Source organism: Homo sapiens, chromosome 8, assembly GCF_000001405.40.
Source record: "Homo sapiens chromosome 8, GRCh38.p14 Primary Assembly".
Taxonomy (NCBI): Eukaryota; Metazoa; Chordata; class Mammalia; order Primates; family Hominidae; genus Homo; species Homo sapiens.
In genome coordinates this window covers 54,098,458-54,109,588 of record NC_000008.11, presented here as the reverse complement: position 1 = coordinate 54,109,588, position 11,131 = coordinate 54,098,458, and the positions used below count along the sequence as shown (strand labels likewise).

Genomic DNA, 11,131 nt, shown 5'->3' with positions numbered 1-11,131 from the left:
CCACTTGCAAAAGAATGAAACTGGATCCTTATCTATACACAATACACAAAAATAAACTCAAAACGGATTAAAGTCTTAAACATAAGATCTGAAACCATAAAACTCCTAGAAAGAAACATAGGAAAAAAATCTCCTTAACGTTGGTCTTGGCAATGATGTTTTGGATATGATACCAAAAGCACAGGCAATAAAAGCAAAAATCAACAAGTAGGATTATATCAAATTAAAAAGCTTCTGCACAGCAAAGCAAACAATCAACAAAGTGAAAGGGCAATCTACAGATGGGAGAAAATATCTGCACACCATGTATCTGATAAAAGGTTCATATTCTAAATATACACGGAATTCATACAACTGAATAGCAAAACAAACAAACAACTTGACTAAAATATGGGCAAAGGACCTGAATAGACATTTCACACAAGAGGACATGCAAATGGCCAGCAGAAATATGAAAAGATGCTCAGCATCATTAATCACCAGAGAAATGCAAATCAATACCTCAATGAGACATCATCTTACACCTGTTAAGGTGGCCATTATCAAGAAAGCAGAAGACAACTGCTGGCAAGGATGTGGAGAAAAGGGAACCCTTGTACACTGCTGGTAGAAATGCAAATTGCTGTAGCTGTTATGGAAAACAGTATGGAGCTCCCTCAAAAAATTATAAATAGAACTATCAAGTGATCTCACAATCCTATTTATGGGTATATAGCCAAAGGAATTGAAATCAGGAGCTCAAAGATATATTTGCATTCCCATGTTTATTGCAGTATTATTCACAGTAGCCAAGATATGGAGGCAACCTAAATGTATACTAAGAAATGAATGAATACAGAAATACAATGGAATATTATTTAGCCTTAAACCAAAAAAAAATCCTGCCATTCAGGACAACATGGTAGGACCTGGAGGACGGTATGTTCAGTGAAATAAACCAGACAAAGAAAGACAAACAGAGTATGATTTCACTTGTATGTGGAGTCTCAAATAGTCAAGCTCATAGAAGCAGGGACTAGAATGATGGTTGCCAGAGGCTGAGGAGAGGGGTAAATGGAGAGGTGAAGGATGAGGAGTACAAAGTTTCAGTTATGCAAGATAAATTCTGGAGATCCATACAACACAGTGCCTATAACAATATTGTATACTTAAAATTGCTAAGATGATAGATCTTCTGTTACGTGTTCTTACCAAAACCAACCAACAAAAACAAAAGCCTCCACAATATGTTTATTTTTATTTTTGAGACAGGGTCTCGCTCTGTCACCCACCCTGGAGTGCAGTAGCACTATCATGTCTCACTGCAGCCTCAACCTCCTGGGCTCAAGCAATCCCCCTGCCTCAGCCTCTCAAGTAGCTGGGACTATAGGTGCACACCACCACACCCAGCTAATTAAACAAATTTTTGTTTTTGTAGAAACAAGGTCTCCCTATGTTGCCCAGGCTGTTTTCTAACTCCTGGGCTCAAGAGATGCTCCTACTTCAGCCTCCCAAAGTGCTGGGATTATAAGCATGAGCCACTGCATCTGGTTAAAAAACCCTACAATAATATTAATAAAGAGGATGGGAGGAAACTTTGGGAGGTGATGGATATATTTATGACTTTTATAGTGGTGATGGTTTCATGGGTGTATGCGTGTCCCTAGACTTATCGAGATGATGTCAATCATACCTCAATAAAGTGGTTTTTAAAAAGTTTTGCCTGTGTGTGTGTTTACATATATATATATATAATATATATATGCCTGTGTGTGTATTTATATAACATGTATTTATTTACATACACACACACACACACACACACACACACACACATATATTTTTTGAGACGGAGTCTTGCCCTGTTGCCCAGGCTGCAGTGATCTCTGCTCACTGCAACCTCCACCTCCCGGGTTCAAGAGATTCTCCCTGCCTCAGCTTCCCAAGTAGCTGGGATTACAGGCACCTGCCACCATGCCCAGCTAATTTTTGTATTTTTAGTAGAGACGTGGTTTCACCATGTTGGCCAGGCTGGTCTTGAACTCCTGACCTCAGGTGATCTGTCCACCTTGGCCTCCCAAAGTGCTGGGATTACAGACGTGAGCTACTGTGCCTGGCCCTTATTTTTTTTTTATATTTTTATTTTTTTTGAGACAGAGTCTCACTCTGTCACTCAGGCTGACCTATGTTGATATTTTTAAATTTCTATTTTGAACATTTTTCTTCCATTTACATATTCTAACCAGCTATTGTTTGTAGCTAGAATAACCATTCCTTTTTGTATGCTGATTTAATAATTGGTTATATTACTGAATTTTCTTGTTAATAATGTTTATTTTGGGGGGGGCACAGGTGGGGACAGGGTCTTGCTCTGTCATCCAGGATGGAGTGCAGTGGCATGAACACGGCTCACTGCAACCTTGACCTCCTGGACTCAAGCGACGCCCCTGCCACAGCCTCCTGAGCCCAGCTAATTTTTTTCTTTTTAAATTTTTTGTAGACAAGGTCTCGCTGTTGCCTAGGCTGGTCTTGAACTCCTGGGCTCAAGCAATCCTCCCACCTCAGCCTTCCAAAGTGTTGGGATTACAGGTGTGAGTCACCACACCTGGCCTTATTAGTAATTTTTAAATGCTCTTACTGTATTTTTGCTTTGTACAATCATATCCTCTAAAATAAGAATAATTTTGTCTTTTTCAATTATTATATTTATTTCATTCCCTTACCTGGGGAAGAGAGAGATTGTTTTCATAGAAAGCTCCTTGGAGGATACATAACTTGGGTAAATGTTGCAGGTATAGTAGCGTAGACACCTCAACCTGAACTGTCCTACTCCCCACTAATGGAGTAAATTAATAAATGATTGGTGGCCCTTAGAATTCTCTACTTTTTACATCATAGAAAAACTCAACGTAATAGTGATTTGGAACATGTTCACAGTAAGAACTAGAGAGTTTTGTTTTCTCAATTAACGTCAGAAGCATTAGAACCAGAACGACTTCCTTCTGAATGGAGGAAGGTAAAACGAGGCCGAGACCCGCTGGGCTGCATTCCCACGAGGTTAGGCATTCTTAGTCACAGAATGAGATTGGAGGTCACCGGACTGGTATTACAAGACATAGGTTATAAAGACCCTGCTGATGAAACAGGATGCAGTAAAGAATCTGGCCCAAACCCACCAAAACCAAAATGGCAAGGAAAACGACCTCTGGTCGTCCTCTCTGCTCATTATACACTTACTATAACGCATTAGCATGTTAAAAGACACTTCCACCAGCTCCATGACAGTTGTAAACTGCTATGGCCAGGTAGGGAATCTACCCTATATGGTCAAAAGAGGAACCCTCGGTTCCAGGAAATCCCTGTCCCTTTACCAGAAAACTCATGAATAATCCACCCCTTGTTTAACATATAAACAAGCAATAACTATTAGTATACTCAGTGGAGCAGCCCCTAGCCCTGCTCTGCCTACGGAGTAGCCATTCTTTTGTTTTTTTTTGTTTTGTTTTGTTTTGTTTTTGCTTCTCTAATAAAATTGCTTTCACTTATGGCCCCAAATTCTTTCTTGCCAGAGATCCAAGAATCTTCTCTTGGGACTGGGATCCCTTTCCAGTAACACTGATATCACAACTAAAGGACTTAAAAGCCTGATAAATGTACACAAGTACATGAAATGTGAATCCCACTATTATCATTTTCAGTAAATTGTCATCAATTTAAAACTTTTGGAGAATCCACAAAATTCTCATTGTCCAAATCCAATCCACAAGAATGATTAAAAACAGTGTGAATAAGACCTCAAATCCTTCAGAACGCTGATATTACAGGAAAGGGGTCCCAATCCAGACCCCAAGAGAGGGTTCTTGGATCTCACGCAAGAGAGAATTCAGGGCAAGTCCATACAGTAAAGTGAAAGCAAGTTTATTAAGAAAGTAAAGAAATAAAAGAATGGCTACTCCATAGCTGGTTGCCCATTTTTATGGTTATTTCTTGATGTTATGCTAAACAAGGGGTGGATTATTCATGCCTCCCCTCTTTAGACCATATAGGGTAACTTCCTGACATTGCCACAGCACTCGTAAACTGTCATGGCGTTGATGGTGTGTCCAGCATTGGTGGGTTCTTGGTCTCACCGACTTCAAGAATGAAGCTGCGGACCCTCGCGGTGAGTGTTACAGTTCTTAAAGATGGTATGTCTGGAGTTTATTCTTTCTGGTGGGTTCCTGGTCTCACTGGCTTCAGGAGTGAAGCTGCAGACCTTCGCAGTGAGTGTTATAGCTCTTAAAGGCACTGCGGACCCAAAGAGTGAGCAGCAGCAAGATTTATTGCAAAGAGCAAAAGAACAAAGCTTCCACAGTGTGTAACGGGACCCGAGTGGGTTGCCACTGCTGGCTCAGGCAGCCTGCTTTTATTCCCTTATCTGGCCCCATCCACATCCTGCTGATTGGTCCATTTTACAGAGAGCTGACTGGTCCATTTTGACAGGGTGCTGACTGGTGCATTTACAATCCCTGAGCTAGACACAAAAGTTCTCCAAGTCCCCACTAGATTAGCTAGACACAGAGCGCTGATTGGTGCATTTACAAACCTTGAGCTAGACACAGGGTGCTGATTGGTGTGTTTAACAAACCTTGAGCTAGACACAGAGTGCTGATTGGTGTTATTTACAATCCCTTAGCTAGACATAAATATTCTCCACGTCCCCACCAGATTAGCTAGATACAGAGTGCTGATTGGTGCATTTACAAACCTTGAGCTAGACACAGAGTGCTGATTGGTGTATTTACAATCCTTTAGCTAGACATAAAGGTTCTTCAAGTCCCCACCAGATTAGCTAGATACAGAGCGCTGATTGGTGCATTTACAAACCTTGAGCTAGACACAGGGTGCTGATTGGTGTGTGTACAATCCTCTAGCTAGACATAAAAGTTCTTCAAGTCCCCACTAGACTCAGGAGCCCAGCTGGCTTCACCTAGTGGATCCTGCACTGGGGCCGCAGGCAGAGCTACTTGCCAGTCCCACGCCGTGGGCCTGCACTCCTCAGCCCTTGGGCGGTCGATGGGACCAGGTGCCGCGGAGCAAAGGGAGGTGCTGGTCAGGGAGGCTTGGGCCACGCAGGAGCCCACGGCGGGGGCGGGGGAGGCTCAGGTATGGCGGGCTGCAGGTCCTGAGCCCTGCCCCGCGGGGAGGCGGCTGAGGCCCGGGGAGAATTCCAGCGCAGTGAGGGCGGGCCCACAGTGCCGGGGGACCTGGTGCCCCCTCCGCAGCTGCTGGCCCAGGTGCTAAGCCCGCCGAGCCCACGCCCACCCGGAACTTGCTCTGGCCCCGGTTCCCACGGACACCTCTCCCTCCACACCTTTCTGCAAGCAGAGGGAGCTGGCTCTGGCCTGCGCCAGCACAGAGTGGCTCCCACAGTGCAGCGGCGGGCCGAAGGGCTCCTCAAGTGTGGCCAGAGCAGACACCGAGGCCGAGGAGGTGCTGAGAATGAGCGAGGACTGCTAGCGCGTTGTTATCTCTCAATGAGAGTGCAGTAGTGAGGATGACCAGAGTTCACTCTCATTGCCATCTTAGTTTTGGTGGGTTTTGGCCGGCTTCTTTACTGCATCCTGTTTTATCAGCAAGATCTTTATAAGCTATATTTTGCGCTGACGTTCTATCTCATCCTGTGACTTAGAATGCCTTAACCGTCTGGGAATGCAGCCCAATAGGTTTCAGCCTTACTTTACTCAGCCCCTATTTAAGATGGAGTTGCTCTGGTTCACACGCCTCTGACACTGGTTACCGTGTGAAAGAAATGGAGTGTTGTTTTTTTTACAGCTTTCTTCCGAACCTTACTCTCTAAGGATGGTATCCAGTATGTCCTTTTTTTTTTCAGATGGAGTCCTGCTCTGTTGCCCAGGCTGGAGTGCAGTGGTACTATCTTGGCTCACTGCAAGCTCCGCCTCCTGGGTTCATGCCATTCTCCTGCCTTAGCCTCCCGAGTAGCTGGGACTACAGGCAACCACCACCACACCCAGCTAATTTTTTTTTTTTTTTGTATTGTTAGTAGAGACGGGTTTTCACCGTGTGAGCCAGGATGGTCTCAATCTCCTGACCTCGTGATCCGCCCACCTCGGCCTCCCAAAGTGCTGGGATTACAGGTTTGAGCCACTGCGCCCGGCCTCCAGTATGTCCTTCACTGAATTGTAAACTTCTGAAGGTCAGGGCATTTTGGCTTTAAGTGTTTCTATCTTGTGCTCTCTTCCAGATCTTACCATGTAGTTGATATGCAACACATTTGTTGAGTAACTACATTTTAGGCCATAAAGGCACCTGTGCAGAAAAGGGCAGTCTAGTCTCATGCTTATGTGTCCAGAGTTGGTTCCTTCCGGTGGGTTCATGGTCTCGCTGACTTCAAGAATAAAGCTTGTCACCTTCGTGGTGAGTGTTACAGTTTTTTTTTTTTTTTTTTTTTTTTTTTGAGACAAGGTCTCTCTCTGTCTCCCAGGCTGGAGTGCAGTGACGCGATCTCAGGTCACTACAAGCTCTGCCTCTCAGGTTCACGCCATTCCCCTGCCTCAGCCTCCCAAGTAGCTTGGACTACACGACCGGCCAATTTTTTTTTTTTGTATTTTTAGTAGAGACGAGGTCTCACCGTGTTAAGGCAGGATGGTCTCGATCACCTGACCTCCTGATCCACCCGCCTCGGCCTCCCAAAGTGCTGGGAGTGTTACAGCTCTTAAAGGTCCCACAGACCCAAAGAGTGAGCAGCAGCAGCAAGATTTATTGTGAAGAGTGAAAGAACAAACTTTCCACAGTGTGGAAGGGGACCCAGGGCTGCCACTGCCAGCTAGGGGATGGGGGGCGTGGCCAGCTTTTATTTCCTTATTTGTCCCGGCCCAAGTCCTGCGGATTGGTCCACTTTACAGAACACTGATTAGCCCGTTTTACAGGGTACTGATTGGTGCATTTTACAAACCTCTAGCTAGCCACAAAGTGCTGATTGGTGCATTTTACAATCCTAGCTACAGAGTGCTGTTGGTACATTTTACAATCCTCTTGTAAGACAGAAAAGTTCTCCAAGTCCCCAACCGACCCAGAAGACCAGCTGGCTTTACCTCTCACTTAAACCTGTACTGTGTCAATATCCGTACATCAGTAAGTGTTGTCGATCAAGTTAGGGAAGTAGTGGATTTCTGGTGACAAATGTTACCCTTTCCAACTAAAGTTTAAAGAAGGTAAGTTGAACCCAAATCTACATACTGCTGTAGCCCCAAACGGAAATACTGCAAAAGCTCCATCAACGTCTCCCAGTCCATCCAGACTTTTACAAATGGATAGACCCCGGCCGCAGGAAACCAAGGAGCACCTGGGGTTGGGTTGGGTGAATTGGCTCTGGGGCTCATTCTTTTCACTACAGCGCCAGAAAAGCAAAAACCTAAACCAAGACCCAAGAGACCAGCCCTCAGCCTGCACCTGAGAGCACATTTTCCCTAGCCAGCACTGAGCATGCGCAGGCTGCGTGGTGTGGCGAAAGCGCAGCCAGGTCCGCGCTGCCGCCGCAGCCAATCGGAGGGAGGGAGCCGCCCGGACATTGTGAGGTGCCGAGGGAGGGGCGGCGGGCGAGGGGCAGGGCAGGGCGGACCCTGGACGCGCGGGCGCGCGCGGAAGGTAGCGCGGGGCCGCGTTGGCGCGCACGCGCCTGAGCGTGCGCCCGGTGGGGCCGGCCGGGACTCGCCGCTCGCACGCCCTTGGGCCGCGGCCGGGCGCCCGCTCTTCCTTCCGCTTGCGCTGTGAGCTGAGGCGGTGTATGTGCGGCAATAACATGTCAACCCCGCTGCCCGCCATCGTGCCCGCCGCCCGGAAGGCCACCGCTGCGGTGAGTGGCGTAGGCGTGGGCTCGGAGGGGTCCACTGGGCCGGCCACCGGTGGTTGCCCCTCGCGCGGGGTGGGCGTTGCGGGCGCGTGGCGGCCTGCGGACGAGGACGCTCCTCCCGGCCCGGGTGGGGTGCGAATGGTCCGCGCGGCCGGGTCCGCGGGGGGCGGGGGCAGCCGGGGGGTCACAGCCGGCGCGAGGGCCAGTCCCCAGCTCCTCCCTGCATTGCGGAGGAAGTGTGGCCCCGGGACCCCCGCGGGCCGGCCTAGGGCACGGCGTCAGCCTCTGCAGCGTGTTTCTGCCTGGTGTGTGGGTGAGGGAAACCTAAGTCCGCCAGGAAATCGCCTTATTGTCACCTCGCACTCTTATCCTCAATGAAAGAAGTTTGAAGATTGAGTGTCCTACAAGGTCAGACGTACTGTTTTTTAGAAAACTCGTGTATGAAAAGTCAAACTTATTTTTGCCTCCGGAAGCTTGCTTTTGCAGTGGAAAAATTCTACAGGATATGTGAGATGTTCCTGATTTCACTTGAAAGAGATAAACTGTTTTTCTTAGAATGTGATCATTTGCACTCAATGTCTAACTGGGACCTCTCAGTGCTACCCCCCCCCCATTCATTATCTCAGGAAATAAAGGGAGAAGTTGATCAGAATTTTTGCCATTTAAAAGAGGTCGATAAAGATTAAGTCGCCGAAGATAGTGTTGTGTAATTCTCTCGTAGGTTTCGTTCCGTTTTCCACCTTAAGCAAAGCTAGTGTGTAACAATCCTGTGTGGGCTTATTTAGGCATTGCTTATTAATTTTCCTCTTCTCTTATAGGTGATTTTCCTGCATGGATTGGGAGATACTGGGTAGGTACCATTATTATTAATAGTAACAGTAATGAAACTGGGTCATGCAACTTTTGTTTACGCGTTCAAAGGTTTAATGTTTAAGGGCGCTAAAATGGTATTTTAAGATTGCCAGTTAATGTATCTTACAGTGCGGTGATTTTATGTTTTGAAAACCCTCAGAATTTTCCCCTTATCATCGTGAGTTTATTGATTTTTTAACTCTGGTTTCTGGAACATATTAAAATTTCAAATTCCTCATTAGTTGCTTTGGGTATTGGATACCAGAGATCCGTGGAATGTTAGTAGGGACGGTGTGCAATTGAGAGCTTTCCAGAGCAGTTAAAATTTCAGAGCAGATTGAAGAGAAGAACTAGTTGATTTTGATAAGAGAACTAGTGGCAACATAAGGCATGCAGCATTCTGAATAGAGGGATTAGATGTTCACTCTAATGAGTTGAAAGGCAGGGGAGGCAACTCAAAGATTTATTTGGAGGCTTATCAAACAATTTGTTGTACTAACTACTTATTTTTATTTTATTTTTTGTTTGTTTGCTTTTTTCTTTTGTTATTATTTTTAGAGACAAGGGCTCTCTCTGTCGCCCAGGCTGGAGTGCAGTTGCAGGATCTTAGCTCACTGCAGCTTTGAACTCCTGGGCTCAAGTGATCCTTCAGCCTCAGCCTCTCAAAGCACAGAGATTAGAGGTGGGAGCTGCCTGAGCCTGGCCTTTTGTACTAACTTTAGATACATGATTTATCTTTTACTCAAGCTTTTTCTATATTGAGATGTTTTTGTTTTTATATTTAAATTGGTGATAATCTGTGAAACTTAAGCAAAATATGAATGTTGTTGAAAAATTGCAGAAATAGAGGAAAACTGAAGATAAATAAATTTTGATAAAGTAGCCCCAGAACGACTAAATTTTCTTTAAAATGAACCATTGGGGCCGGGCGCGGTGGCTCACACCTGTAATCCCAGCACTTTGGGAGGCCGAGGTGGGTAGTTCACTTGATGTCAAGAGTTCGACACCAGCTTGGCCAATATGGTGAAACCCCATCTCTACTAAAAATATAAAAATTACCCGGGTGTGGTGGTGCATGCCTGTAATCCCAGCTGCTAGGGAGGCTGAGAGAAGAGAATCACTTGAACCTGGGAGGCAGAGGCTTCAGTGAGCCAAGATTGCACGACTGCACTCCAGCCTGGGCCACAGAGTGAGACTCAAAAAAAAAAAAAATGCCATTAGGCTAGATTTTTGTTTGTTTGTTTGGAGACAGGGTCTGCTGTGTTGCCCTGGCTGGAGGGCAGTGGCGTGATCTTGACTCACTGCAACCTCCACCTTCTGGGTTCCTGGGTCTCCCGAGTAGCTGGGACTACAGTTGCTTGCCACCATGCCAGCTAATTTTTGTATTTTTAGTAGAGACAGAGTTTTGCCATGTTGGTTACGCTGGTCTCGAACTCCTGACCTCAAATGATCCACCCACCTGAGCCTCCCAAAGTGCTGGGATTACAGGCGTGAGCCACCACTTAAAAGTGATTCCTATTTTTTGCCTAATAAGTCGAGTTATGTAATACAAACTTTGTATGGAGTTACAGAAAAGGTTGCAGCACTCTTTCTGGCAATCCAGTGGTCCTGTGAAAATGATGAACTTATTTTACCAAATGAAACTCGAATAGCAGAATCTCTATTTTATGGCCAAACCTTTCTTGATGTTGCAAGTCAGGGAGAAGGTTGCTATCCTCTAACTTTGCCAATAATGAGCACTTCTATGCCTGAATGATTAGTTCAAGCAAAAAAAAAAAAACTTCAGTCTAGGCAGATTCCACAGACTGAAGCTAAAAGTAAAAATGGTGAAGACTATTAGGATCAAAAATACCAAGAACATCCATTACATCTTGACCAAAAGTTAAGTTTATATTAAAAAAGTATCCTTCTTTTTAACCTGTTGTGATAAAAGAAAAAACAAAGGTCTCCAGTTCTGAAATTATTTGGTGGGATAATGCTAAGGAAAGGCTGACTCTAGATTGGTTCCATGAGTGCATGATGAAACTTCGAACCTGTCAGCCTGACAAGTGGCAATTTAATACTTAAGATATTGTAGTCTCCCCTTACCTGCAGTTTTGCTTCCCATGGTTTCAGTTACCCGTGGTTAACTGTGGTTTGAAAATACTAAATGAAAAATTCCAGAAATACTTTATAAGTTTAAAATTGTACACCATTCTTTTTTATTTATTTTATTATTATTTTTTGAGATGGAGTCTCACTCTGTCACCCAGGCTGGAGTGCAGTGGCACGATCTCGGCTCCCTTCAACCTCTGCCACTCGGGTTCAAGTGATTCTTGTGCCTCGGCCTCCGGCGTAGCTGAGATTACAGGCGCGTGCTACCACGTCCAGCTAATTTTTTTGTATTTTTAGTAGAGATGGGGTTTTGCCATGTTGGCCAGGGTGGTCTTGAACTCCTGACCTCTAGTG

The 11,131-nt window shown here is 45.5% G+C and overlaps 2 protein-coding genes across 13 annotated transcripts in view, besides 1 other annotated feature; both read left to right on the top strand.

The window, feature by feature from the left end:
- Positions 7,519 to 8,088: a silencer, noted in NCBI's record as "silent region_19199". NCBI's record gives its function as "represses an Ori minimal core promoter by ATAC-STARR-seq in GM12878 lymphoblastoid cells {active_cell/tissue: GM12878}" and the evidence as "EXISTENCE:reporter gene assay evidence [ECO:0000049][PMID:35858748]".
- Positions 7,642 to 11,131, top strand: part of LYPLA1-TCEA1 (LYPLA1-TCEA1 readthrough) — a 135,392-nt gene continuing 131,902 nt past the window's right edge. For 3 of the 4 annotated variants that reach the window (NM_001425841.1, NM_001425839.1, NM_001425842.1), the window contains exons 1-2: positions 7,642 to 7,834; positions 8,650 to 8,681. Coding sequence is in view for 1 of the 4 variants with exons in the window: in NM_001425839.1 (NP_001412768.1) it covers positions 7,766 to 7,834; positions 8,650 to 8,681 (101 nt within the window). In the remaining 3 variants the exon portion in view is untranslated. Of the gene's footprint in view, positions 8,240 to 8,649; positions 8,682 to 11,131 lie in introns of all 4 variants that reach the window. The other variant, NM_001425840.1, reaches the window with a different exon arrangement.
- The window catches only part of LYPLA1 (lysophospholipase 1), a 58,961-nt gene continuing 55,471 nt past the window's right edge, over positions 7,642 to 11,131 (top strand). For 8 of the 9 annotated variants that reach the window (NR_189621.1, NR_189622.1, NM_001425837.1 and 5 more), the window contains exons 1-2: positions 7,642 to 7,834; positions 8,650 to 8,681. Coding sequence is in view for 5 of the 9 variants with exons in the window: in NM_001425837.1 (NP_001412766.1) it covers positions 7,766 to 7,834; positions 8,650 to 8,681 (101 nt within the window). In the remaining 4 variants the exon portion in view is untranslated. Of the gene's footprint in view, positions 7,835 to 8,114; positions 8,240 to 8,649; positions 8,682 to 11,131 lie in introns of those variants that run through there. The other variant, NM_001279360.2, reaches the window with a different exon arrangement.